Source organism: Homo sapiens, chromosome 12, assembly GCF_000001405.40.
Source record: "Homo sapiens chromosome 12, GRCh38.p14 Primary Assembly".
NCBI classification, from domain to species: domain Eukaryota; kingdom Metazoa; phylum Chordata; class Mammalia; order Primates; family Hominidae; genus Homo; species Homo sapiens.
In genome coordinates, this window is record NC_000012.12 from 11,647,206 (window position 1) to 11,673,456 (window position 26,251).

The 26,251-nt window shown below is 45.2% G+C and overlaps 1 protein-coding gene across 9 annotated transcripts in view, besides 10 other annotated features; it reads left to right on the forward strand.

Annotated features, from left to right (window-relative positions):
- Positions 1,372 to 1,471: an enhancer, noted in NCBI's record as "active region_5968". NCBI's record gives its function as "activates an Ori minimal core promoter by ATAC-STARR-seq in GM12878 lymphoblastoid cells {active_cell/tissue: GM12878}" and the evidence as "EXISTENCE:reporter gene assay evidence [ECO:0000049][PMID:35858748]".
- Positions 1,652 to 1,891: a silencer, noted in NCBI's record as "silent region_4242". NCBI's record gives its function as "represses an Ori minimal core promoter by ATAC-STARR-seq in GM12878 lymphoblastoid cells {active_cell/tissue: GM12878}" and the evidence as "EXISTENCE:reporter gene assay evidence [ECO:0000049][PMID:35858748]".
- Positions 2,182 to 2,391: a silencer, noted in NCBI's record as "silent region_4243". NCBI's record gives its function as "represses an Ori minimal core promoter by ATAC-STARR-seq in GM12878 lymphoblastoid cells {active_cell/tissue: GM12878}" and the evidence as "EXISTENCE:reporter gene assay evidence [ECO:0000049][PMID:35858748]".
- The window catches only part of ETV6 (ETS variant transcription factor 6), a 245,704-nt gene continuing 221,921 nt past the window's right edge, over positions 2,469 to 26,251 (forward strand). For all 9 annotated transcript variants that reach the window (XM_047428502.1, NM_001413914.1, NM_001987.5 and 6 more), the window contains exon 1: positions 2,469 to 2,955. Coding sequence is in view for 6 of the 9 variants with exons in the window: in NM_001987.5 (NP_001978.1) it covers positions 2,923 to 2,955 (33 nt within the window). In the remaining 3 variants the exon portion in view is untranslated. The remainder of the gene's footprint in view (positions 2,956 to 26,251) is intronic.
- Positions 2,602 to 2,651: a silencer, noted in NCBI's record as "silent region_4244". NCBI's record gives its function as "represses an Ori minimal core promoter by ATAC-STARR-seq in GM12878 lymphoblastoid cells {active_cell/tissue: GM12878}" and the evidence as "EXISTENCE:reporter gene assay evidence [ECO:0000049][PMID:35858748]".
- Positions 2,662 to 2,821: a silencer, noted in NCBI's record as "silent region_4245". NCBI's record gives its function as "represses an Ori minimal core promoter by ATAC-STARR-seq in GM12878 lymphoblastoid cells {active_cell/tissue: GM12878}" and the evidence as "EXISTENCE:reporter gene assay evidence [ECO:0000049][PMID:35858748]".
- Positions 5,509 to 5,618: an enhancer, noted in NCBI's record as "active region_5969". NCBI's record gives its function as "activates an Ori minimal core promoter by ATAC-STARR-seq in GM12878 lymphoblastoid cells {active_cell/tissue: GM12878}" and the evidence as "EXISTENCE:reporter gene assay evidence [ECO:0000049][PMID:35858748]".
- Positions 5,949 to 5,998: an enhancer, noted in NCBI's record as "active region_5970". NCBI's record gives its function as "activates an Ori minimal core promoter by ATAC-STARR-seq in GM12878 lymphoblastoid cells {active_cell/tissue: GM12878}" and the evidence as "EXISTENCE:reporter gene assay evidence [ECO:0000049][PMID:35858748]".
- Positions 7,430 to 7,589: an enhancer, noted in NCBI's record as "active region_5971". NCBI's record gives its function as "activates an Ori minimal core promoter by ATAC-STARR-seq in GM12878 lymphoblastoid cells {active_cell/tissue: GM12878}" and the evidence as "EXISTENCE:reporter gene assay evidence [ECO:0000049][PMID:35858748]".
- Positions 19,122 to 19,755: an enhancer, noted in NCBI's record as "H3K4me1 hESC enhancer chr12:11819261-11819894 (GRCh37/hg19 assembly coordinates)". NCBI's record gives its function as "activates a minimal SCP1, AML or CMV promoter by ChIP-STARR-seq in primed H9 embryonic stem cells {active_cell/tissue: H9 hESC(primed)}" and the evidence as "EXISTENCE:reporter gene assay evidence [ECO:0000049][PMID:30033119]".
- Positions 19,756 to 20,390: an enhancer, noted in NCBI's record as "H3K4me1 hESC enhancer chr12:11819895-11820529 (GRCh37/hg19 assembly coordinates)". NCBI's record gives its function as "activates a minimal SCP1, AML or CMV promoter by ChIP-STARR-seq in naive H9 embryonic stem cells {active_cell/tissue: H9 hESC(naive)}" and the evidence as "EXISTENCE:reporter gene assay evidence [ECO:0000049][PMID:30033119]".

A 26,251-nucleotide genomic window follows, 5' to 3' on the forward strand; every position in this document is an offset into this window, starting at 1 on the left:
TACACTTTGAATTGACAAAATAAAAAACTGTGGACTTTTTTTTCTTCGTGTTATATAAGTATCTACCTGACATTCTCAATTTTGTCTCTTGGCCCACAAAGACTAAGGCATTTACAGCTGGGCCCTTTACAGAGATTGGCAACCCCTGGTCTAAATGTAGTTTTTGCTACAGTTGTCAACTATGTTTTTTGCTTTGGAACCACAAACATTCTACTTCAAACTACTACTTCTATGAATCACTTGTAGACGTTGAGGAGGAGTTAGGAAGAAAAGTCGAGAACTAATTTAGTCCTGGGGTTAAATAATAATTGTAGCCAACTTGAATTGAGCACATATATTGTGCAGCTCTCTGCTAAGGAGGCATTTGTATATATTTTCTTATTTAATAAGATAATCTTATGAGCTAGGTACTATTTCTCCCCATTTTACAGAAGCTTAGTGACTGTGTTGTCAGGGATCACATTGCTAAGTGATGTGGAAGACATAACCTAGCAATGGGACATCTAAACCAATGTCTGCAACATCAATTAAGAAAAGCAAAAGAGGCCGGGCGCGGTGGCTCACGCCTGTAATCCCAGCAATTTGGGAGGCCGAAGTGGGTGGATCACGAGGTCAGGAGATTGAGACCACGGTGAAACCCCGTCTCTACTAAAAATACAAAAAAGATTAGCCGGGCGCGGTGGCGGGCACCTGTAGTCCCAGCTACTCGGGAGGCTGAAGCAGGAGAATGACGTGAACCCGGGAGGCGGAGCTTCCAGTGAGCCGATATCGTACCACTGCACTCCAGCCTGGGCGACATAGCAGACTCCGTCTTAAAAAAAAAAAAAAAAAAGCAAAAGAATACAGAAAATTGTTAAAGGGGAGAAGGGGGTGGTCAAAGGCAGAGGAGTCGGTGTGGACAAGACAGAGATCTCTTGGAGAGAGGGCAGGACTACCAGTTGACAAAACCTGTTCAGGTTCCTGGAGGCTCACAACCACCAGTTCCCATCATCCCAGCAACAGCACTCTTTCCCACCCTAGCCTCGTTCGTAATGATCTGATCAATGTGTGAACAAAAATATTGTGTGTACAAGTCTCAACACATTTGATAATGTGAAGAGGTGAAGGAAAGTGGGTAGGAAAAATCTGTAGGGTGGGGAGACTCGGGGAAATGTGTCCTGGTCCAGTGCAGGTAACATATATGGGTATATATGCGTATATACATATTTATACCATATTTAATATATTACTCTATTAAGAAATTATAACAAATTTCCTTTTACATTACACATCCACATATTAAACCCCCAATATGTGCTAACAAGGTTAGAATTTAAGTATAATGATAATGTTCTCAGTTTTTTGTGGTGGACACTTTAAGAGAGTGTAAATAATAATAAAAATAATAGAGTGATCAGATCACTTGTGCTCAGGGCTAGACCCTTCAGCCCCAACGGCCTTAACCCCCCTCAACTGCTTTTCCAACCAAATATTCCTCCCCCTGCAGGATCCCAGGGCCATCCAATCAACCGGCCAATGACGGTTTCAGAGAAGCGGTCCTGGGGAGGGGTATTATCTGCAGGAACACGTCCTGCCAACTTTGTAGTCGAGTCACCTATTTCGGTTGGTAGCGGCCGCTATTTCTTTAAAAGGGCAGTGGATTTCGAAACAGGAGGGGGAGGTCAGGAAAAGGAACTCAGCTGCCTTTGATAACTGCCCTGCAGCCTTCCCTTCCCGGAGCGCGTGCTCGGCTCGGGAAGCGCCCGCGGCCGCCGCATCCCCGAGCGGGCGCGTGGCGCCACCTCTTTCCGGGGCGCCCACCTTCCCCGGGAATCCCCCCGCCCGACGGTCCCCCAGCGTCTGCGGCGCGGCCGCCCCGGCTTTGTCTCCGGCGTCGCGCTCGGGCGCCCGCTCTCCCCACATTTCCCCGTGTGCAGGCTGTAACCCGATCTCCCATTTCCTGGTGGATTCTCTTAAAGAGGCAGCGGTCGAGAAGCAGAACAAAGGCTATTGTTTTATTTCCTCCTTCGGATTCCGCGTCCTAACCGGAATGGCCCTTCATAGATAATTACTTTCGTTGCATCTGCGCTTAGTGAAACGTTTCAAAACCCTTGTGCACATCGATGTATCCAAGAGACGGAGCCAGGGGAGGTGGGAGGAGTTTAATAAAACCTGTTTTGTGGTGTCTGGGGCCACAATGTAACGTTTTTTAAAGGTGTCTTCCTTAAGCCCGGAAATTGGCTCGGCCAGCGGGAGGTCTCGCGGCGTGGAGGGCGGGCGCCCGCACCGGGGGCCGGCCTGGGGGGCTGCGCCGCTCGCCCCGCTCGCAGCCGCGGCCCCACGCGGCCCCGCTACCCGGGTTTCCTCCGCCCGCGCCCCCGCGGCCGCCCCTCCCCCGCGCAGCTTTTATTTCCCCGATGCCGGGCTGTAACCCGAGCTTTTATTTCCTGGTGGCTCCTTTAAGAGGCAGAGCTCAGTGCTGGGAATTCACGTCAGTTTCTGCACTGAAACTCTCAAGATCAATGAGCAAAGAGCTTTCTCAGTTCTGCCTTTCAGTTTCTCTCTTCCAGGAAGGAAAACATTCGAGAGAGCGAGGGAGAGCCGCGGGAGGGCGGGGGGCGGGGGCGCCGGCTGCGGGTGGGAGGAGAGACCGGGAGGCCGGCCGGGCTGCGTCCCGGGTCCCCGCGCCGCGCCGCGACCTGCAGACCCCGCCGCCGCGCTCGGGCCCGTCTCCCACGCCCCCGCCGCCCCGCGCGCCCAACTCCGCCGGCCGCCCCGCCCCGCCCCGCGCGCTCCAGACCCCCGGGGCGGCTGCCGGGAGAGATGCTGGAAGAAACTTCTTAAATGACCGCGTCTGGCTGGCCGTGGAGCCTTTCTGGGTTGGGGAGAGGAAAGGAAAGTGGAAAAAACCTGAGAACTTCCTGATCTCTCTCGCTGTGAGACATGTCTGAGACTCCTGCTCAGTGTAGCATTAAGGTAAAAATCTTCTCCCCTCCTTCTACGTGGTGGAAACCCTGAGCTGCACCGGCCAGGGCAGTCGTGCTGGGCTCCTCAGAGCAGGCTGTTGCAGTTGCTCTGTTCGCAGGAAATTATTTGGGGCGAGAGGGAAAGAGATGCAGCTCGCGGTGGCTGCTGTACCCTTTAGCGTAACCTTGCTACTCCCCCCCACCGCCGAGCCCCTGCCGGCTCCTCGGCCCCCACCCCCTTGCTTTTTGACAATGAAATGCCGGTCACAATTGGTCAGAGCAACCCGGATTGTCTCCAGAACCGTAAAACACCCCCGTAATTAGTGCGCTTAAAAAAAAAAAAAACAAAAAACAAAAAAAAAAAACCTGCTCCCTATTCCTACACCCAACATGTGACTGAAATATAACTTTTGTTCCCGAGGGGTGGTCGTCTTAGAAAAAAAGTTGTTCAGTTTCCACTGCGATAGAATCTTTTTATTTTTTTAAAGGACTCTCTGGGTCTGATCAGACAGGATTTTTTTCCCCCTCGTCTGATTGTAATTGCAAGCGCTGTCGGAGAGACAGTCCTGGTGTCAGCTTTTCCTAGGCATTGCACAATGAATTTTTTTTTAAAACCAAGGTGAATAAAGTTGCTGAATAGTTATTTTACTCCGATCCATATGAAAGTTGAGCAATCCCAAAGTAGAAAACTCCTGTGATGGAGGGAGAGGAAGAACTAAGCAACCAGGCAAAATGACCTTCTGTGTTTGACAGTGCAGAGAGGCTATCTAAGCAGCACTCTGTAAATGCAGGGCGGTAGATGTTTGTAAACACACTGCTGGGCTACCCAGTAGTTGTGTGTATGCATGTCTATATATCTGTAAAGACTGTGGTGCTGCGGTTTGTTGCTTCTAAAAAGTTGTTGTAAAGTTTGCCACCATTGGGAGGCAGGATGATTTATCCATCTACCCGTGTTATTTTTCCCATCGCTGCATTTATTGTACACTTTATTCATTTCGCTGTTCCACCAGTACCCAGGTAGAAAGCCTTCCGCTCTTGTGAGAGGCTGAAGCTGCTGAAGTTTGTTTTTGGTTTGGCCTATTTAATGTGTGTTCACTGAATGGACACTACAGCAACAATGAACAAATAACCTGTTTTCTTCGTCTGTGGGGAGTTAGAAAAACCCTTCCTGGTTTAACACTGCCTTTCAATTAGAGTCTGTGTAGGGGAAACGCAGTAGTTCATCATACGTGCTTACTAGGTTTTTTATAATTAGAATCACATTTTGGTGTTTCTTATCAGAAAAGATATTCATGGGTTTGAGGATAGGCTAATGTGAAATCAAAAGGTGGTTTGGGCTTCTTTGTTTTTGCCTCACAAAAATGCCTAATGGAACTTTTAGGCTTTTGTGTTTGTACATAACTGGAGGTAGCAGTATGTATGTCTGTGGGCATGGGGCGTGCCACACTAAAGAACTTAGGGTACTTTGATATTAATACTTCAAAACCAGTTTCTTTTGCGGTATAAATTAGATTCTACACAGAGTTCAGGAAAATCCTGCGGTATAGATAATCTAATTTATTTGACGCTTCATAACATAGAGGTAACTAAATAGTAGGATATTCAATAAATAAATTGTATTTGGCTCAGTGGCAATAAACCCGACATCAGGAAAATCTGCCAACTACAGATCAGTAACTTTAGGGCAAAAACAACAAAAAACAATGCTTTCTGTGACGTTTCTTGATCCTCTTCTATACTGCATCCCCACCGTTTTGATGGGCTTATGGTGGTGTGCTGGCTGCAGACTGCTACTGAGTGGTTTGTTTCATTGTGCTCCAGTCGGAAAAAGAGTACAACAGTCCCTTGCCTTACTCACATACAGAACCAATCCCAAGCAAAACGCGTTCTTAAATGCAACATGAAAATTGTCTGTAATTTGCATATCATTTTTTTCCTTATTGCTTACAACTCAGTTCTTTCAGGGTGCCTCTTTTCATTACTGTGTACTTCTATGTAATTAAAATAGATTTAATGTTCTTTACCAGAAAGGAAAGAATCACTTTTATTTTGGATCGTTCTTTATGGAACGAGTATGTATTTGCTTAGACTGCATGTGTCTAGGTGAACGTATGTGAAGAGTATCTTTCCATGGAGTTTGTTTAATTCAGTGTTCCAATAATAAGCACTAGAGATCAAGGACTGGGATTATTCCAGGTCATCTGAAATGTTCTGGTGATGTGTGCTGCGTTTCATTTAGTCCTTGGGATGTGGTACGGTGACTGCATAATAAAAAATGTTTGCTGGTAACCCACAAGCAAGTTGCTTGCTTCTAGAGTCCAGTAAACAATATGCTTTTCTGTGTAGTGAAGAACGAATGTCAGAGGTTTTCAAGGATGAGCTGATGAACCTGATATACCGAACTCCTGTGACACAAAAGGCTCTCACTGTGGAGAGGTTTTTCCCAGTCCTCCTCTCCACTCCTGAAACCGTCCTCACTTGCTTTCATTCCTTACAAGTAGCGGGTCAGCAGGCAGACAGTTCCTCAGCGGCTGGTGAGATGCAGCCACAGAGGGAAGTACTTTGTTTATTTCTGAGCAGTGCCTGCTCTGCTAGAAAAGAGTAGTGTCCGATTTGGGTGGAGTTTCCAAGGTGAAAGTTTCTGAATTGGTCAATCAGTGACGCCTTTGTAAAGATGGCTCATGTGGTGGTCGCTCGCAATGAATGCCTGATAAGGGCTTTTCTGTTTCTTTTGCACTGTGTAAGTTTGCTCCCATCGCCTGGGGAAGTTAATATCAGACACACACTTTTTACGGTAGAAGAGAGGTTGACTACTCCAAGGGCACTGAAACTCTCACTGAGCCTTATTGTTTCTCTACACGCGACTTGCAGAAAGCAGGAGTGCTCGAGCACTCCTGGGGGGGTCTGTCCTACAACCCTTGAAGGTTGTGGCACTGTTGTCATGGAAGTTCAAATGCTTCAATTCCTGACCATTTGGGGTCGTTTAAATGGAAGGAAAGGATCAACTCTCTATAAAAAGTCAAATTGTTTTAAAGAGGATTGCCTGGCTGACTGTGCTGGTCACAGGAAGAAGGAAGAGGCTGTCTTTTCCATCATCAGCCTTCACCTTCAAGTCACCTCTTCAGTTCTAAGTTTGACCAAGTTGCAGCGGAAGGTGGTTGTGGCCTAGCAGACACGGTCCCTTGTCAGGCTTGGCACAGCTTGTTAGTGGGCCAGGACTAACCAGAATCCAAAAACGAGTCACACAGTGTCTCTAGTCCCCTCCTTCCCTGCTGTCCGTATCAGTCAGCTTTCATAGCAGAAGGAAATCTGGTTTTTAAAATTTTGCTACTAACTGGGAGACTCTTTCGAGCTCCCCTTCTGGACTCTGGGCTCCTTGGGTTTAGTGATGATTATCTTGGTGTCCTAGTAGTTAGCTTGGCAGCTGGCATAGAAATATTTCTCAGTAATGTTTGCTGATGTGAATGAAGTGAGAGGTGGGAGGAGGCCAGCCCCCTTTCCTCTTTCTGTCTGCGTGTAACCTCAGGGTGACGTAACACTTTCATCCACTGGCTTGCTTGCAGAAAGCACTCAATAGGGCCCACTACAGCCTTAGAGAGGGCTAGAGCACTCCTGGGGGGTCTGTCCTCAAATGCTTATTAATAGAATTTTGATACAATAATGTTTTATAATTTTTTTTTGGAGACAGAGTCTCGCTCTGTCGCCAGACTGGAGTTCAGTGGTGCGATCTTGGCTCACTGCAACCTCTACCTCCTAGGTTCAAGCAATTCTCCTGCCTCAGCCTCCCAAGTAGTTGGGATTACAGGTGCCCGCCACCATGCCCGGCTAATTTTTGTGCTTTTGGTAGAGATGGGGGTTTCACCATGTTGGCAAGGCTGGTCTTGAACTCCTGACCTCAAGTGATCTGCCCGCCTCAGCCTCCCAGAGTGCTGAGATTACAGGTGTGAGCCACTGCGTCCAGCGTAATGTTTTATTATTTTGATAAAATTCTCAAAAACTGCTTTTGTGTCAAAAATAACAAAGAAGGAAATTGAGGAAAAGGTACAACAAAGGGGCTTAAGGAATTGCTTTAACAGGTTCAGATTAGCAGGCTTCTAAGTGCCCCCCAGTTTTTCTGACAATAGAATCAGGGAACTTTCAAACATTCAGAGTTGAGAGACCTTAGAGATCCCCTGGGCCAACCTCCTCTATTTTTTACAGGGAGGGGATCCAGAGAGCTAAGGGGTTTGCTTCAACCCATGGGTGAGTGAGCCAGGTTTGGAGGACACAGGCCTACAGGTTCTTAGGCCACTGCATTCTCTGGGTTCATGGTGTGTCCCTATAAAAGGCCAAGGAAACTCGATATAATAGGCTTCGCTCTCTCTGGCACTTCCTAGCTTGGTCCATTTTAATCACAAGCCAGCTGGTCTGAGGGCACGGGGGTATGTGCCAAGGAAGATGGTATGTGGGGGTAGAAATGGGCCACTGGGGTCTGGTCAGGTGTGAGAAGAGGAAGTAGTAGGAGGGAGGAGATGAGAGAAGAAGGGCCTGACGGACTTGTATTGGCACCACTATTTGCATCAATATATGTATATATATATATTTTTTACAGTGCACAAAGGCCTGCAAGTTCTGTTTTGGGCTGAAGGCCCCCTATCTGCTGTTAGGACTCCTTTGAGGAATCCTTGGGTGGGCCGTAGGCTCTTTTATCAAGGGTCAGACAATCCTATTTATACTTTAATTTCTGTGTAGTAAGCTCCCTGTTTCAAACAGTCAAAGCTAAAAATGTGGCAGCTGGCCCTAGAGAAGTAGCTATCCTGCTCAGGATAAGTAAGTCAAGGGCAAAAAATACCCCAGATGTGAGCACCAGAGGCAGGTAGAGCTAAGTCACATTCTGCTCCTCTGAGTGCAGCTGTATTTGTGCACACCAGGAAAGAGCTGGGGGCAAGGTGGGGGCACAGGGTTGCTGAGAGTAACTCACACAGCAGTTTCATTTTTTTCACCAATTTTTAAAACTTGCCCTTTGGTGTGGATCTCCCAGCCAAGTGATTCAGTGTCAGATGAAGCCCCGTAAGGTGTGCCATATAGAAATGACATGTTTGTTCTATGTGAATACTACTTTAGAGACAATCCTGGAGCTTGTTTTCAGGTAAGGGTCCACCACTTCCATATTTGTTGTTAGATGTGTGTTGGGAACCAATCTCCGTGTGTATTTGTTGAATAGAATGAGTGTGCATTTACTCAGGGTTCCCACGCCAAAAGGGACCCAGCTTAAAGACTGTTCACTGCCAAACCTAGTATTTGGGGACAGAAAGACTAGACTAAATTAGTAAAAAGTTAGAATTATAGCCTATTAAAAAACAAACACATTTTTATTGATTTTCCAAACATACAGGAACCAAACTAATAAAGTGTTGCTTACTGGGGCATCTCAGGGAACGTTCCAATGAATAGGCAAGAATGTGTTCCACATTATCCATTGGGTAGAAACTAGTGCTACGATGTGCTTGGAACTGTTCCTTTAGTGTCAAAATATTACCACACATTTTATTTGCTCTGTTAATTTGTTTGATAACCTTTTCTTCTTAGTAAAAATACAGAGTTCAGCCTGGTCGTTGTCTAAATGATCTGGAATTCCCAGAGTGTGGACGAGGGGCTTGATTAGAAAAGGTATTGCCCCGTGTTAAGTGTGGACTCTCAGATGAGCATAACTGCTCACTCAGCCCTATGGATTTCGCTTACAGGAAACGGTAGAATGCTTGCATTTCTGAAACTTTGTAAATTCTCTGTAATTAAAGGTGTTCGTCTGCTGTTTTAGTGGCCGTTGTTCTACAACAACCAGTTGTAGCTTACAGCTATATAGTGATTTATTACAAAACACTTTCTTCTTCTCCTTTTCCTTCTTCCTCTTCCTCCTCCTCTTCTTCTTCCTCCTCCATCATCATCACCGGCATCATTTATTGAATGCTACTGCATGCTGGTCCTTGTGCTGTTTTATATACATTATATACATTATCTCATTTACTCTTCACAGCTCTCTATGGATGCAGTTTTTCTCTCCATTCTACAAATGAGGAAACTGAAGCCCAGAGAGGTTAAGTGATGTATTGGCCTAAGACCTCGCAGGCTGTAAGTGGCAAAGCTAAGGCCAGAATCTCTACTGTGGGACTCTAATTCCAAAGTATTTTCTATGAGGGCATTCCAAAGTGCAGCCATTTTTGCGAAGAAAATTAGGAAACTTGAAGTGACGGGTGGCTGGTGGATTGTTACATAAGCCGAGATGAGAGGCAGGAATAGAGCTGGCAGAAGTGCTTGCAGAGGTTCTGAATTTCCTCTGCTTCCTGGTCTCTTCTGAAGATGGGTCTTCCTAGCCATTACACAAGTAGCGGGGACAACCAGATGGTCACACAAAGCCACCACCCACTGTGGAATGAATGTCTAAGTTTTCCATATTTACCCCAGTCTCTAATGTCCTCTGGTGAAATTTTGTCTTTGATGGGTTTCATTTTGGGCCCTTGTTGTTTTTCTCAGATGCCTTTCTTTTCCTTGTGTTTTTCTTGCTTCCTCCGGTGCTTAATGGCTTCTTCATGAAGCGGTTGGAAATCTGAGAGATTGTGTCATCCTGCCCGGCCTCGGGCTAGACACCTTCTTTGCCTGCTTTTTACTTCCTGGTCAGTTGCTTCTCCTTATACAACTTTTTTTTTTTTCCTTTTAAAGCTTTTCACACAATCCATAAACACAAATTTTTGTTTTTCTTAAACCATCTCTCATGTACATCTTTAATATTATGTGATTTCCAGGAATCTATTTCAGATATTCCCTCATTTTCCCCTATAACAAAAGGAATCATCTTTTTTTGACTCCTGTCTCGATGGCTTGACCCAACTCGCCTGTTCTAATTTCCTGGAATGAAGAGAGCATTTCGGCCATCTGACTTTATACATTTCTGATTTTGAACGACTCTAGTGAAGAGAGTCTTCAGAGCAAATGTAGGGAAAGAAACAGAGAAAGAGAGAGATGTGTTGTGGAGATAATATGAGGGGATTCAGAGAGCATTATCCAAATTTGTCATGAAGCAAATGAGGAAACTGAGTCTTGTGGCGTTTAAAGAGCTTGCCTGAGATCACATTCCTAACTGATCAAGCCAGAGTCAGAATCAGTGTTCCATCCTAGGTCCATGTTCCTCTAACACCATAGCAGAGGAAAAATGAGAAAAAACAGGCAAGAATTCAGAAAGCATAGCTTCCTTTTGAAGATTCACATGACATATTAGTGTTCATCATTGTGACTTCCAAGTGAAAGACAGAGTTCATGTTATGAGATTTAAGAAGTGAAGAAAGAATGCAATGTATTTTGGAAAGATATCTAACAAAAATGGTTGGCATAAGAATAATGTTAAGTTTTAAAAGGCTAAGCTTCAGTTACGTGGATGAATGATTTATGAAAAGTACTCCCCCATGAAGACACAAAAGAGGTAGCCAATGCATCTGCAAGTTCTTGAGGCCTGATGGCCTCCCTGGGGGTATTTTCCCTTTGTATGTGGGAGTCAGATATACGGAAAACGACTTCATTTCCTGAATGACCCAAAAAGGACGCATTGCCCTGCTGAGTGCCAGTTGGTGAGTGTGCTCAATGGTGTTAGTGTTGCCACAGTGTAGTTCCAGTCACCACGTCTTTCGATTTTGACTTACATTTTCTTCTGTCTTATGTTGTTCTTTGGTTCTTACCTGTAAAGCTGACTTCCCTTCAGGAGATTGTAAGGTGCTCAGAAAAGGGCTTTACCTCACTGCCATGCTGTGAATTCTCCTAGGGGAAGAGTACAGACAATGGAGTAGACAGACCCATGAATCCTGGTTCCTGAACTTGAACTTGTTCAAGCTACTTAATCATGAACCTGTTAACTCATCTGAAGTGGTAATAAAAATGTGTCTCTTAGGGTTGTTGGGATATGTACATTGCCCAATGTAGTGCTTTATACTGTTAAAAAGTTAGTTCTCCTCCTCCTTTATACATCCTCCATAACACATGGATCTGGAAGAGGCTAGAGATTTTCTGGTTCTGTGCCCACATTATACAGTTGAGAATACAGAGGCCAGGGGATGGTTTGTTTTTGTTTTTGTTTTTGAGACAGAGTCTCGCTCTGTCACCCAGGCTGGAGTGCAATGCCGAGATCTCAGCTCACTGCAACCTCTGCCTCCCAGGTTCAAGCAATTCTGCTGCCTCAGCCTCCTGAGTAGCTGGGATTACAGCTGTGCACCACTCACCTGGCCAATTTTTGTATTTTTGGTAGAGACAGGGTTTCACCATGGTGGCCAGGGTGGACTCAAACTCCCGACTTCAATTGATCCTCCTGCCTCGGCCTCTGAAAGTGCTGGGATTACAGGCGTGAGCCACTGTCCCCGGCCCCCGGCCAGGGATGTTAATGGCCTTGCTCAAGCTCGTGTGGCTAGTTGGTGGTGCCATCTGAACTAAAATCTAGGCCTCCCGAGTCAGCTGACTCCCTGCACAGTGCTCTTGTCACTGTCCCATTGAGTTGTTCACAGGGCTGGGGTCACTCAGTCAGTGCTCAAAAAAGCTCTTATTTTAACTTTAATTGAATACAAGCCTCAACAATAGGAGAGATGAGCCAAGTGCAATTATATGATAATAGCAAATGCCTTTTGCATCTTACAGCAGAATTTTGAAGGAATAGCTAATGTGGTTCTGAATAAGTTTCCAGAGATGAAAGAAAAGGAAAAAACCTAAGTCTGGAAGTACTGTACAGTGAGTCTAACTAGCATTATTACTCAGCGCTCAAGTATTTGAACCTATTCAGGGATCTGCTCCTTCATACAGTTGCTTATTATTTGTGACTGGGGTGAGACTTGAAAGAGAGCATCAATTCTCCAGTCTGCTTTTGTTTAACAGGCAGTTCCATGTCTGTCTGACCACAGAACAGACACTGTTTGCTGTGGGCTGGTGAATGTTCACTTTCAAGAGCAGGGAGTAGATGGCCCTTCGTGGAAGTTTAATTATACAGAAGAGTTTGAAAAGGCCAAGTTTGTTACTTTGGGGCATGGGGAAACCTTCCTCTCTAGCAGATGTGAGGGGACCGAAGTGTCTCTTTTCAGCAGTTGTATTCTTCTTGCTGTGGACCTAAATTCGATCCTAAGTCATTCTTTGTATGTACATGGCAGATGAGAAGATGAACTATAGACTGGAAAATAACCCTTTTTTGAGGAATTGTGGAGAAAATGTTACCCACCTGTCCCTCCTACCACCATGCAATAAGTGTGGGCTACTTAATACTCTTGAAGCAAGAGTTTAGGTTTGGAGAGAAACTGCTCCTCTGATCTTCTCCTGGAAACCACAAGTGGAAGTTTGTGATTTTCTTCTCAGCTGCCCTGTCCCCTCTCCCTTGGGTTATGACAGGCCGTGTAACTTTATCTTTCTTAGGACTTATCTCTTTGATGAGGTCAGTAATCCTGCTTCACTTACGTCCCCTATACGTAAGATTGCCATAACCAAAGATGACATGCAGACTCTAAAGCATTTCCTGGAAAAAATGAGCTACAGATAGAAGTAAGGCTCGTAATTTAAAAAATCGAACCCCAGAGAACAGCCTGTCTCTGAAGTTAACCATTCCCCCAGTACTTTCTCTTGTTTCCCTGGTGAAAGTGTGAATCTGGGTTGTGGCAGGGGAAGTTCTGGCACTGCTAAGAGGTGAGGAAGGAAGAGGGAGGGCCCAGAGCTGCCCACCTCACTTGCAGGTGTGGCCTGGAAGAGTGCCGGGGTCTCTAATGAAGAATCAAGTTCAAGGGATGAAGAGGAGTTGGCGAAGGGGCACAAAAATACAGCTAGATAGAAGGAATGTGTTATAGTATTCATTAGTATAATAGGGAAATTAGAGTTAACAATTTATTGTGTATTTCAAAATAACTAGAAGAATTGTACTGTTCCTAACACAAAAGAAAAATGTTTGAGGCAATAGATATGCCAGCTACCCTGATCTGATCATTACACATCTGCACAGATATCAAAATGTCACATGTACCCCCAAAATATGTACAACTATTATATATCAACAAAAAAAATCAAAGAGACAATTTAGAATAAGTATGGTCTCAAGCCTAGTGACTAATATGTGGACAAGTAGATCTGCACTAGGGTATACAGGAGGAAGTATTATGGAGACTTCATAAAAAGGGAGATGGGGCGGGGCGTGGTGGCTCACGCCTGTAATCCCAGCACTTTGGGAGGCCGAGGCGGGTGAATCACCTGAGGTCAGGAGTTCAAGACCAGCCTGGCCAACATGGTGAAACCCTGTCTCTACTACAAAAATTAGCCGGGTGTGGTGGTAGGTGCCTGTAATCCCAGCTACTCGGGAGGCTGAGGCAGGAGAATCTCTTGAACCTGGAAGGTGGAGGTTGCAGTCAGCTGAGGTTGTGCCACTACACTCCAGCCTGGGCGACAGAGTGAGACTCTGTCTCAAAAAAAAAAAAAAAAAAGGGAGATGGGGGACATGGTGGGAATTTGCTAAGCTCTTTTGTTAACTGCTTTAAAGAACTCAGACTAGGGAAGGAAACTTCTCTCAAGTTTATTGCTGGTTGTTATTTCCAGACCATTTGTCTTTCCCAAACTGCCCTTGGCCATCAAATCAGACTCCTGCTAGAGTAAGCCTCATGGTAGTGTCTCTTGGCTCACCTCTGTGGTTTTGCTAATTATTTTCATGTATTGACCTGGGATCACAGACCAGGCACCCAAAGGGACAGAGGTGAGTTCTTTTTCTTTGGGCCTCTTTGGATACTCATAACCCAAGTCCCTGTGACAGGTTTTGGAAAAATGGCACATCTGAAGGATTGGATCCGTGGTGCATTTTGTAATTGCTGTATCCTCTTTTCTTTAAGGTCTTGCTGTGTCACCCATGCTGAACTACAGTGGCGTGATCATAGCTCACCGTAACCTCAAAGTCCTGGGCTCAAGTGATCCTCCTGCCTCAGCCTCTGGAGTAGCTAGGACTACAGGTGCACCACCTTGCCTGGCTACTTTTTTAAAAAACTTTTTGTGGAGACGAGGTCTTGCTTTGTTGCCCAGGTTGCTCTCAGAACTCCTGGGCTCAAGTGATCCTCCCACCTCGGCCTCCCAAACTGCTAGGATTATAGGCATGAACCACTGTGCCCAGCCATTTTGTCCTCATTTTGACTTGAGATCTGGGAGATTTTAAAGATCCGTGTCATGAGTTCACTTGACTGGTGCTTTGCACTTTTGAGACCCGTCACTCTCCTGACTAATAGGTCTTGACGGCCACTAATGGCCAGCAATGGCTGGGAACAGCAGGACACTCTCACTTTGTACCTTTTGATCTGGTCTTTATTCAAAGTGGGGTGAACCCAGTAGGAGAGTTGTTGTTTTGGGGATAAAGTCTGGGTGACAGATTCTTCAGGCTGGGTAAGTCTCCTGTTCTCCCCGACTTTGAGACCTGAATGACCTGATTTGGCTGACTACACCTCCAGTCCCCTGGACAACAGCCAGCTCCTTTGATTTTGTGCCATTTAGTCCTTCCCTTCATCTGCTGACGCTGATACTTTCGGGTGAGGTGGAAGGAGAGAGCATACCTGTTGGTGAGGTAAGAGTGTTTTCCTTCAGAGAACCAAAGAAACAAAGGCTCCCTTTCTGAATTTTGTGTTCTGCCTCTTTGCATTTCTGAGGCTCCTTGTGTCTGGCAGGGCTGTGAGTGAGGAGATGAGGGTGTGCTCCTCTGCAGGCAGAAGTCAGCTGTAGGTCAGATGTGGCTTTGGAACACAATGGAATCCAGGGGGAATGTTGGCGAGCACAGCAAGGCTGGGGTGATGATCCTCTAATCTTTTGCAGCGTGCTGTAAGAGTATCTTTAACTTTCGCCGAGACAGGCAGGGCAATGAGCAAAAGGACCTCGGTGTTAGGTAACATCTCAAGTAGGGCACCTGGTAGTACACCTGTCTTGCATGTTCCCACCCTTCCCAACACTTTATCTTTTTGAAGCCATCTACCCTTAGAAAATGAACAAGGAGCCACTGACATAGACAGCAAGTATATTTACTTATCTTTTGGGTGCAAGGCAGTTTGCCCTGCTGGGAGAGATGTGGGATAAGGCCCCAGAGTGGAAAAAAACAAAAAACCTTAAAAATGCAAGAAGGAAGAAAGGTAGGTGAGCCAGCAGGTCCCACTGAAAGGCCTTGTTATTGCAGCAAAGAGGGAAGAGGTGGGCCCAGTGGCACAAATCACTAACATTCTTCTGACAGTCACTAGCCAGTTCTTCTGAGAATTTCTCTGTCTTGAAAAACTTGGTAAAATGGCCAAATGGAGCTTCTCCGAACTAGGGGGAATGCCTGTGTGTGCGTTCGTTGTTAGCCATCATGTTGAACAGTCTGATTTAAGGGAAAGTTGGTCTGTGTACATTTTCATTTCAGCTGTGGTCTTTGAAGGTTCACCATGGAGGAGGTGTGGGTGGATGAGAATAGAGTCTTCTGCCTCTTGGTTGGCTTATATGTAGGTTATAGGTGAATGTGAGTTCACAACCCCCAGCCTATTTCTTATTTGGGTGCACTTTTGGATGACTTGCAGGGCTGAGTTTGGGAAAACCCAGTTACTCTTCCTTTATGCACATATTTCTGCCAGACTAAATGCCAAATAGATAATTGGAAAGAATTTTCTTCGCAGCCCTGGTCCCCAAATTGGTGTCTGTGATTCTTCCTAGGGTCTCATATTATGAGAGTGCACTCCCTTTAATCTTTTGGGACCTCAAGTGGGGTCTGTGTGGACAAGATTGTGCTTCTTTGAGAAACTTCTTGCTGCACACCAGCCAGGGTAAGGCAAGAGTTAGTCCTGTTGGCTGGGTGGTTCTTGGGCAGTTGAGCATGCTTAGCACTTGAGAGGTTTCTGTTATACCATTTGCCAAAAGGGACATCTCTCCGCTGGTCCTAGTGCCCCAGGGCACAAATGGCAGGCTTTAGGAGAAAATGCACAATTTCAGGTTCAGTCTCTATCTGCATTTGTGTGCATGAATGGACTAATAATTGCAGTGCGTTGAACGATTTCTGCATATTCCAACACCTAGAAAGTAGCTTCCTGGATTAGGGAACGGTTCCTAGGTACAGCTACCAAAGGCTCAAGCTTAAGCACCAACACTGGAGGTTAGAATTAGCACGCTCTAGGGAGGACAGCGAGAGGGCAGCTGACACAATGCCTTTATGGGCTATTTTTAGCTTTAGTCAGGCCTATCTGGAGTGGCTTGTGCTTTCTTGGGCACCGTCCTGCATTTATTCCAGGGTTTGTGCTTGTGACTCTGTTTGCATATATGCCACATGTATCGCATGCTCATGGGATGATAAATTGCAGAAATTATGGCATAATCTGTTTTCTAGCATATAGAGGAAAAGATTACACAAAATCCAGCCTTGTTGTGGCGAAGAAACCTAACATATAGATGTAAAATATATCTCCTTGGAGGCCTGGCTTTGTGATGGGCTATGAACGGATTGTTAAACAGCAATGTGAGGGGCTGTTAGCAAGCTGTTTCTAAGAGCATCTCCCTGGTCTGGTCTGAAAAGGTGATGTGTACATATTGTACATTTGAGATAGTTTGCCTGTGGTGTTTATATGTTGGTAGGTTGTGTGTGTGTGTGTATGTGTGTGTGTGTGTGTCTTGTCTGTCTTCAGTGGTGAACTGAAAAAATAAAGTGTTGTTTACGTGCTTCTATGTTAGTGTCTACATTCCAAACTGGGCAATAGTTTTCTTTAAGCTGGCTTAAGTGAAGAGGTGTTTGGTCAGCCACAGGGTATGAATCAACCAAACTTCAAAAAGCTTCAGTGTGTTTTTGATAACACTCTTAAGTATTTAATAGCTGCTTTAAGGATTTGTGCCTTAGTGTACTTGGATGAATAGGTAAATCACCTCCCCATCAGCAAACTAGCGTTTGGGTTCCCACGTTGGCAAAGCAGGGTTCCTGTTATGTGTCTGGTCATATTTGAACTTCTTTTCACATTCAGGTGACATAGTTGAACATCAGTCCGTGCCAGTTTCTGCTACTATTGGGTTTTTAATGGAAGAGAACTCTTTCTTGTTACTACGATGCCATGCTTCTGCTGTGTTAGCAGCTGCTGTATTGAAAAACAGGTGTCTCTTATAATCCTCTGACTGGATCAGTTTGCTAGCCTGGCAGAGTCTTATTGTTATTGTTTTTATTTATTTATTTTTGTCCCACATAAGTCAGAAACTGCCAAGAGATGTTGATGAGTGGGATTAGTATGAGAGGAGATGGCAGCTTTTCTTGGTGGAGGTTTCTGTTACAAGAATCTAAGAGTCTTATGAAGATAGGGCTAAATAAAACCAGGATACGAACCACAGGGGAGAACCGCCAAAAGAAGGGTAGTAAATGAATGGTTCTGTCAAGTCACCTCTCTGTCATTCTTCAAAGGCCAACTTAAAGCCAGCACTGCCACAAAAGCCATCCAGGACTAAGGTTAGCGAACGGTGACCCTTGTTTGGTCCACGATGCACTAACAGACTCTTCCCCTTGTTGCTTCTTACTGCTACTGGAATGGAAGCTTTGGGAGGGCAGGTGTGCCATCTTTTCCAGCCTGCCAGGCAGTCTGGTGCATACTCGTCTTTCTCCTCCATACCGGCTGTCACTGCCTTCCTTCTGGCCCCAGACCTTTCAGTTGTCTCCTCTCTGATCTTCCTTCCTCCATTTTGTCCCCACCCCCAACACAACTTGGAATGATTCTTTGCAGATAAAAATGTGATCTTGTTACTCTCTGTCTCACACCACAGTACCACAGTGTAGCATGAACCACAGCTTCTTGTCACCTGCAAGGCCCTTTACTGCCTACCTTTCTAGTATCATCTCCACATTATGTTCCAACCACATAATGAACTTTTTTCTCAGGAGGACATGGTCTCGCTCTGTGGCCAAGGCTAGAGTAATCTCAGCTCACTGCAACCACTGCCTTCTGGGCTCAGGTGATTCTCCCATCTCAGCCTCCCGAGTAGCTGACACCACAGGCACGTACCACCACACTAGGCTAATTTTTGTATTTTTAGTAGAGACAGGGTTTCACCAGGCTGGTCTCAAACTCCTGGGCTCAAGTGATCCGCCCAACTCGGCCTCCCAAAGTGCTGGGATTATAGGCATGAGCCACTATGCCCATCCCATGTAACAAACATTTATGCCTGGAATCTTCCCTCGATCTTCTTTCTGCCTGGCAGCCAATTTGTCATTGGAAGTCCATTTCTCAAGCCTCCCTGTTGCTGCTGGGCACAGTGTTCCCCCAGCTTATTGAACTTGCTTCTGTTATTGGCAACAATCCAGTTATCCTTGAATTATCATCCACACTAGACTGAAAGCCTGCTGAGGACAGGAGTCTGATGGGTTCATTTTTATATTTCCAGTGTCCAGCTCAAGGTCTGGCACAGAGGACAGCCAATGGCTATTAATTGAATAGAATTTCTTAATCAGTAGGTATTTATTAAGCTTCTGTTACGGACTTAATTGGTGCCAGGCTCTTTGATATGTAAGATAAAGACCTCACACAGTTGACATCCTGAGCAAATACTCTGTGAGGGTTGAGGAAAGAAGAAAGGTAGAGACCTGTGTTTTGAAACATATCAGGACTCCATGTCAGGGCGAACATACTGCCACCTCCCATACCTAAGGGGCTCCTGTGAGGCATAAGTACTGACATGTACACACAGGGCACTCACAAATGCTCTCCTTCTCAGTTGCCTACTTTCTAGAGGGGAATATAGATAGCTGGAGAAGAAGCTTGAGAACCTTCAGGCTGGATGTGCCAGAAACAGCAGAGACAGCCCAAGATAAATGAATGTATTAACTGATCATCCTTTTTTTTGATGTGGCTCAGGATGCCTCTTGGGTCAGGGAGAGAGAACCAGTGGCTGTTTGTTGTAGCTGTGTGCGGTCTTGGCCATAGCTGGCTGTGGTATCTGGGACCCAGTGGCAGGTCACCACCGTATGGGGCTGCCAGTTGCTCCCCCACCCCATTCCTCTAAGAGCTAGTAGGGAGAGAGAACCCGGAAGAGCAGCACGGCTTGCTGAAACTTCTCTGAGGTCTGTGATTGGCCTTTCCATGTCAAGGGAAGAATCCCTCTCTTACTTGAGTCAGCTCTTTCCAGTCTTCTCTTGTACAGCCCATGTTCTCTCCTACCCTATCTGAGATGAAGATCTCTCTGGAGCTCTCATTTTACTCCTAATGGGTTGCCTGGAGGGACTAAACCAGTGAGAATGACTGGGCATACTATGGGACTAGAAAAACAACTCAAAGTTATGTCTTACGGATGGTAGGACAGCCTCAATATTGCTGTTTACAGTGGATAGCCCAGTGACATTTATTTAAAGAGGGCAGTCTTAAGAGAGTGTGTTAGGGTTATGAATCTGATTAAGTGTGATCTGATAAGTGGGAAATGGACCACTTGGGAGAAATCAGGTTACTTTCAGATATAAGCAGACCAAACTGGGCCTTCCACACAAGCCTGAATAGCTCGTTTTCTCCCTATTTCTGTTGCCATTGAGGTACAGCTGGGATTCAGGGCATTAGGATATGTGAAAACTTTTAGCTTCCTGAACCCAACCAGACCCCAGCAAGAGTCCTTTTACAGTTTCCCCGAAACCGTCACAAGTTTTCCTGACCGCCTGCTGGGGGCTTTCTGTTGCAGACCTACGCGGCAGCTGCCTGCCAGCCCTGCCAGATTTGACTTCATCTTGGCTGCCGGTGGGTCAGTCTCCACGAGGCTTCTCTTGGCCTGTCTGTCCACTCAGGGCATTTAAGGGTCCTCTTGCTTTGCTCACATGGGCTCCTCGAGGGCTTGTGCAGTAGGTTGAGAGTTGTTACGGGTGCTGATCTGGACCACTTAGGGAGCAGAAAGCATAGGTCTGTATATGAATGTGAAAATACACATTTAAGAAGCTGCTCAGGTAGGGGCAGCCACGGAAGTTGTGCTCCCTCTTAAACACTCAGCGTACACACCTCATCCTCAGACAATGTGCTGCTTACATTTCCAGTGTCCAGCACGGTGCCTGGCACAGAGGAAGGCCGATGGATAGTAGTTGAACAGAATTTTTTTAATCATCAGGTCTTTATTAAGCTTCTATTATGGACTTCAAGTTTCCTCCATGAATGCTACCAGAACCCTTGCTCAATGTCTTCACTGTTGAGGCTGTTGAGTGAGAAGCCATTTCCTTCCCCTTCTACTTCCCCTCCCTTTACAGCCTTACCAGGCCCAGTGTTCAGAGGACTCGATGCTCATGAACCTAGGGTTCCTAAGAATTAGCATGTCACAATCTAATCTGGAGACTATCCGCCATTTAGTTCCATGGCGGATTATGGTCTTGGTTCTAGCAACCTGCTGAAGAACAAACCTGGTGGTTTATTTTCTTTTTTTTTTTTTTAAATGGGGACTTGCCTTGTCTCCCAGGCTTGAGTACGGTGGCATGATCATAGCTCACTGCCTCGACCTCCTGGGCTCCAGCGATCCTCCCACCTCAGCTTCCCAAGTAGCTGAGGCTACAGGTGTGTGCCACGATACCTGGCTAATTTTTTTTTTTTTTTTTTTTTTTTGAGATGGAGTCTCACTCGGCCGCCCAGGCTGGAGTGTAGTGGCATGGTCTCGGCTTACTGCAGCCTCCGCCTCCCAGGCTCAAGCAGTTCCTTGCCTCGGCCTCCCGTGTAGCTGGGATTACAGGTGCACGCTGCCACGCCCAGCTAAATTTTGTATTTTTAGCAGAGACAGAGTTTCACCATCTTGGCCAGGCTGGTCTTGAACTCCTGACCTCGCGATCCACCCGCTTCGGCCTCCCAAAGTGCTGGGATTACAGCCGTGAGCCACCACGCCCAGCCAATTTTTAAATTTTTTGTGGAGACAAGGTCTCACTATGTTGCCTGGCTGGTCTTGAACTCCTGGACTCAAGTGATCCTCCAGCCTCAGCCTCCCAAATTGCTGGGATCACAGGTGTGAACCGCCACACCCAGCTGAGAACAGACTTTTGAACTACCACAACTATAGGTCTGTTGGACATTGTTTTCAGTTGAAATTGCTTAAAAATTGACCTGCCTTGGAGAAAATTTCATGAGCCTTTTCTTAAAGAGTGATTGAAATGCCAATAAGAATGCAATAACAAGTGCCCTGTGTAGATGTGTGGGAGGGACACCCTCCCCTTCCTCCACCCAGCAAAAGCTAACGTACTTTCCAAATTCTAAATTGTGATGTGTGACTTGGTAAAGGACTTCGCACTGTTTTGTTTTTTTTTTTTAAATTGATGTGGCAAGCCTTACAAAAGGATATGCCGTTATATTCTAACAAATTATTTCTATCGAAAAGAGTATCATGTGAGATTAGGGCTGTAGAGGAACAGCCTTTCAACTAGTCTTCTATGTGGTAAAGGTGGCACCCAGTTTCCAAAGACAGCACAGACGCCAAGGGTCTTTTCTGAACTTCTTCGATTTTTATGATCCCTGGCTGGGTCGGAGAAGGGCTAGTTAGTATGTTTTTCTTTCTTCTGGATGAAAGTTGCAAGGACACTTAAGCCTTATGCTTCAGGGCGGAATCTGATCACAAGTTGAGATCAGGAAGAAATTTTCCCCCTGTGGCTTCCTATTGCACAATTGCCCGGCCAGGTGTGCTACCTCTGTTAAACAAAGACACACACAAGTGCACACCTCCTTACTGGCTATCTTCAGAGCAGGATGTTGGACGTTGTGGGCCAGCAGACTGGTTCCTTTGGCACATCCCTGTGCTCAAAGATGGGAGGCAGCTGCCCGTCTGCTCCTGTACTTGGCTGTCCTCTGGGTGTGCTGTACTGAGCTCAGGGCCACGTCTTCAGATCCCTACAACTCTTTGCAACTCTTACTTTGTGGGACAATTAAAATTAGGTCTAATTCTGTACACACCCGCATGCACATGCACACATATCTTTTTAAAAGTTTTCCTTAAACTTGCTTCCCCTTTCCTGGGCTTTGCTTCCCCCTTCCCGGGCTTTACACCACATCAAACCTATATGCATTCCCAAAACATCAAAATGACTGTTCACAAATCATAGTAGAACTCTTTAACCATAAGGTGCGCAGTTGCCAATCTCAAGCTTGGATTGTAAGCGACTTCGAAGTCTGATCCAAAAGACTGTGGGAGGAGGGGGAAGGAACATGGATGGACTTCTTTCCTTCCTCCCTCCCTCCCTCCTTTCCTCCCGTCCTCCTGTCCTCCCTTCCTCCCTTCCTCCCTCCCTCCCTCCCTCCTTTCCTCCTTTCCTCCCTTCCTCCTTCCTTTCTTCCTTTCTTCCCTTTCTTTTCTCTCTTTTCTTTCTTTCCTTTCTTCTTTTTGAGGCCTCGGCTGTGCTGCCTCTTGTGCAATAGGATAATTACCAGCGATTCCCAGGCTCGCCTGCTTTTCTGCCTTTACATCTCTATCTCCTGTGGCGCAGTACTTCCTTCTGCCTCTATTATTAGCTTACTTAGCTTTACCATTCAGTTCTCCACCTCCTCCCCGGGTCCCTCCCCATCTTCTTCCAGCCTTTCTTTCCCTTCACCTCTGTAAAGGTATTTTGGGGAGCTACCATTCATGTTCTGTTCATACAGGAACCCTCTTTTTCTTTATTAATATAAAATAATCTTGGTCCTGCCTCATTTTATCATATATTCATTCGTATTCCCAAAATAGAAACCGTCGCCACCAGCACGTAATGTCTGGCCTGTAAACCTTTAAAGTAGGATGTGCCGAAATGAGATCTTCACAAGCAGGTGTGCCTCATCCCCTGACCTGCAGGCCCTTCTTCCCCGGCGGCCATTCACTCATCTTCACACCATCTTCTTGCCCTTCTCTCTGCTTTTCGATGATTCTACCCCAATCACATTCCTTCCCAAAATGACTGTGTTAGTACTTAATTGTTCACCTGGGCTTGTTCATGTTGTAGTTCATCGTTTCCTTTTTATCTTTAAAATTTTCTTGTTCTTCGGGGATACACTGTATTCTTGTAATTAGAGATTATATCAGTTTTCATGGCCAAAATTTGCCACGTGGACATAATAGTATTTGGTATCAAGCACGCCTTTCAGGAAGAAGGGAAAAACAGTAGATTTTGGGCAGCTTTTGATTACAATAATTTCAAATTTCTAATAACTAAGAAGTACTTCATGTGATTCTTGTAGAGTAAAAGCTTAAAAATTACCCTTTTCTTTGTAAGTGATATGAGTCTTACTTCGTTTGGGTAAGAAACTCAGTTTGAGGCTACCAATTTTTCAAATAGTGGTCTTAGAAACTAATTATTGCTGTAATTTCAATAACTAAATAGGCATTCCTATTCAAACCTTTACTCAAGTAGTTATATTCTTTAACTATAGTTACTCATTTGTAACATTTTTCACTGTAAGGGTAGTGACATCCTGTTTGTAACACACCCTGTCCTGGGACTAAATGGAAGGGATTGAGGAAATTCTGCTGGAGTCTAACCCCACCATAGGGCAGCAGCATTTTAGGAACAAAAGCAGAGAAGCTCACACTCTTCTGAGTATAACTGGGGAGAAGATTTAGGGAGGTGGCTTGTAGGATCAGTTTTAAGACCAGGTCAGACATACGTACAAATTCTTTCTTTGTAAATGAGAAGTGGCCTTTAATAGCTTTCATATGGATAGATGGGTAGATGAAATATTATTCTACCTAAAGCATGACATTTCAGTAAGTACTACACTTTGAAACTTGCCTTGCAGGGTTTTAAAAATATTCTTTTCTGGGTTCTAATCATTTATAACGAAGAGTCACTAGCATTTTATTAAAACCCATATTTTTTGGAGAGGGATATTAAGTGAGCAGGGATTGTGGGTTGTTCTTGCTTTTCCTTAACTGTCCTGCCCCAAAAAAGTGATGGGAATAACCCAAACCTTAAAGGTTCCTGGGGCTTTCTTTTTCCCTAGACAGGGACCTCCTCCTCTCCCCTGCTCTCATCCCACTTGTTCCTGAAAAAGGGTAAGGTTGGCAGGGCGGGGAAGAGAGAAGGAAATTAGGGTTCTAGCTTAAAACTGCTGCTAGAGTGGCTAGTTCTGGGAGCTTTTTGAGAGAGGCCCAAGGTGGCAGCCTTGTCTCTTTTGCCTCTTTCATTAAACCTGGGGTTTGCTGTACAATGCTTTGGGTCTCCTGTCCCAAAAATAAAGGGCTGTGGCAAGTATCATCCTGACAACTATCCAATCAGTTCTGACTGAGAGGCACTTGTAATTCAGAAGATAGTCATTAGATTTGGATAGAAAGAAATGAGATGTGATGTTCAGTAGATCAGTAGGGTGACTATAGTTCATGTTAATCGATTGTACATTTTAAAATTGCTTAAGGAGAATAATTTGAATGTTTCTAGTATAAAGGAAAGAGAAATATTTAAGGCGATGGATATACCAGTTAACTTGATTTGATTATAAATGTATCAAATCATTACATGTACCCTGAAAATATGTACATCTAATATGTATCAATAAAAATAAATAAATTCATTAGAATAACAGAATTTAGACATTTAGAGCTATAGTTTTAAGGAATTTCAGACCAAGGCCCAAAGCTCGGTTAAGTGACCTACTGAAGGTCCCAAGGCTATTATTGCCATATTAGAACTAGAAGTCAGATCTCCTGACTCCCACCAGTGTATATTGACTTTTGACCCAGCAGTTAGTTTTATTTTAGGCTGTATTTTCGAAATAACAGATTGGTTCAAGTCAAAATAATCTTATTCGTGTGAAAAACTCAACCAGGTGAACTGAGTGAATGAACCTACTTTTTAATTGGGTGTTTTTAGGTCATGTGAAAAAAAAAAACACAAATCAGAAGGTCCTTTGTGCTTCATGTTTGGATCTGATCCTTTTTTTTTTTTTTAAGCTGAAAATGAATGAAGGATGGTAGAGTAGGAACTAGGATGTACGCATAAAACACTTGCCTGTCTGCCTTGTCACCTGCACTCCAGTGGGGTGTTTCCAGGGCTCATTGTAAGGTGAGAGGTGACTTCTGGACCCTTGACTACCCTGTTCCTTCTGTCGCAAAATATAATCAGGAGGTTTCTATTTGACAATGTACTCTGAGTATTGTAAGGAACCAACTCCCAACCCAAATCGAATCGCCTCTGAGATCCTATTAAACAGAAAATGCCCTGAACACCAGTATATGAAAATGCTTTGCTAGGATGAGCTCAAAGCATTTCATCCTCCAAATAAAATCTATCTGCTCACACTTAGATTGTTCAAAGGCAGATGGTAGGCAATTGAAACAGAGAGACAAGCTGGCAAAAGGAAAAATAAAACCACAAATATCTGCACGTGAAGGTGATTTACGCTCTTGCCAGCCCCCCTCCTAACTTCGTTAACACAACGACGTAGCAATTAAGTAGCATGGGAACTCGGGCTCAGATGGCTGATACAGTTGTCCTCCGTTAATGGGGTGAGACAAAGCTTGCGTATAATATACAGTGCTCTTCACCAAAATGCAGAGCTAAAAGAGATTTTAAGAGATAATCAGCAACATAGCCTGTAAATCATGCTGCTCATAACAGACGGCCACCTTACTGAAATCTCACTGACCCCCACCACACGTGTTAACAGCAGGGCCACTGCTCTGAAATATTAGCTATTACCGAGTGGCCAAGTCTTAAGAAAGGGACCACTTGGCAGTATTGAACTTCAAAGTGGAAGTAAGATCCCCTTGGGGTGAGGGTAGGAAGGCGGTGAACAGGGTTGATCAGAACCGTGGAAGAGTCCGGAGCAGATGCTCTGTGGGAAACCCTGAATTAGCCAAGAGCAAAAGTTATCGCCATCCTACTGCTCTGGGAAGGCTGCCTGTTGGAGAAAACCTCTGTGTTCCCTTAGCCTTTTCACTGACTGGAGGACTTTCCAGACGAAATCTGGCACTTCTCAGTAACCTTGAACTTGAACATTCAGTGACAGAAGGGAAAGGGAGAGGGTTTCAGCTGCTGGAGCTGGGTAACTGTGCAGGGCTCTCGCAGCGGGCCATTTGTGGCTCTGAGGGTGCCAAGCTGCAGTGTTCTGAGGGTGTGTGAATGAGGGTGTTGATCCTGGCTGCAGAAGGGGCAGCTTTCTGAGCAGGTGGGAGTGGTGAATGAGGAGGGGATTTGGCGGGGCAGGATGTGAGATGAGTTTACTCTGCTGGGAAAGAATTTGGAGATGTCCATGAAGAAGAAAATCTGGATGACTATTGAGGGAGGGCTGATGTTGGAGAGAAGGGCTCATACTACAAATCAGAATAAAATAAAGGATATCTTAGTATCAAGAGGAAAGCACTGTTAAGATACTAAACCTTCTGCTGCCCAGGTA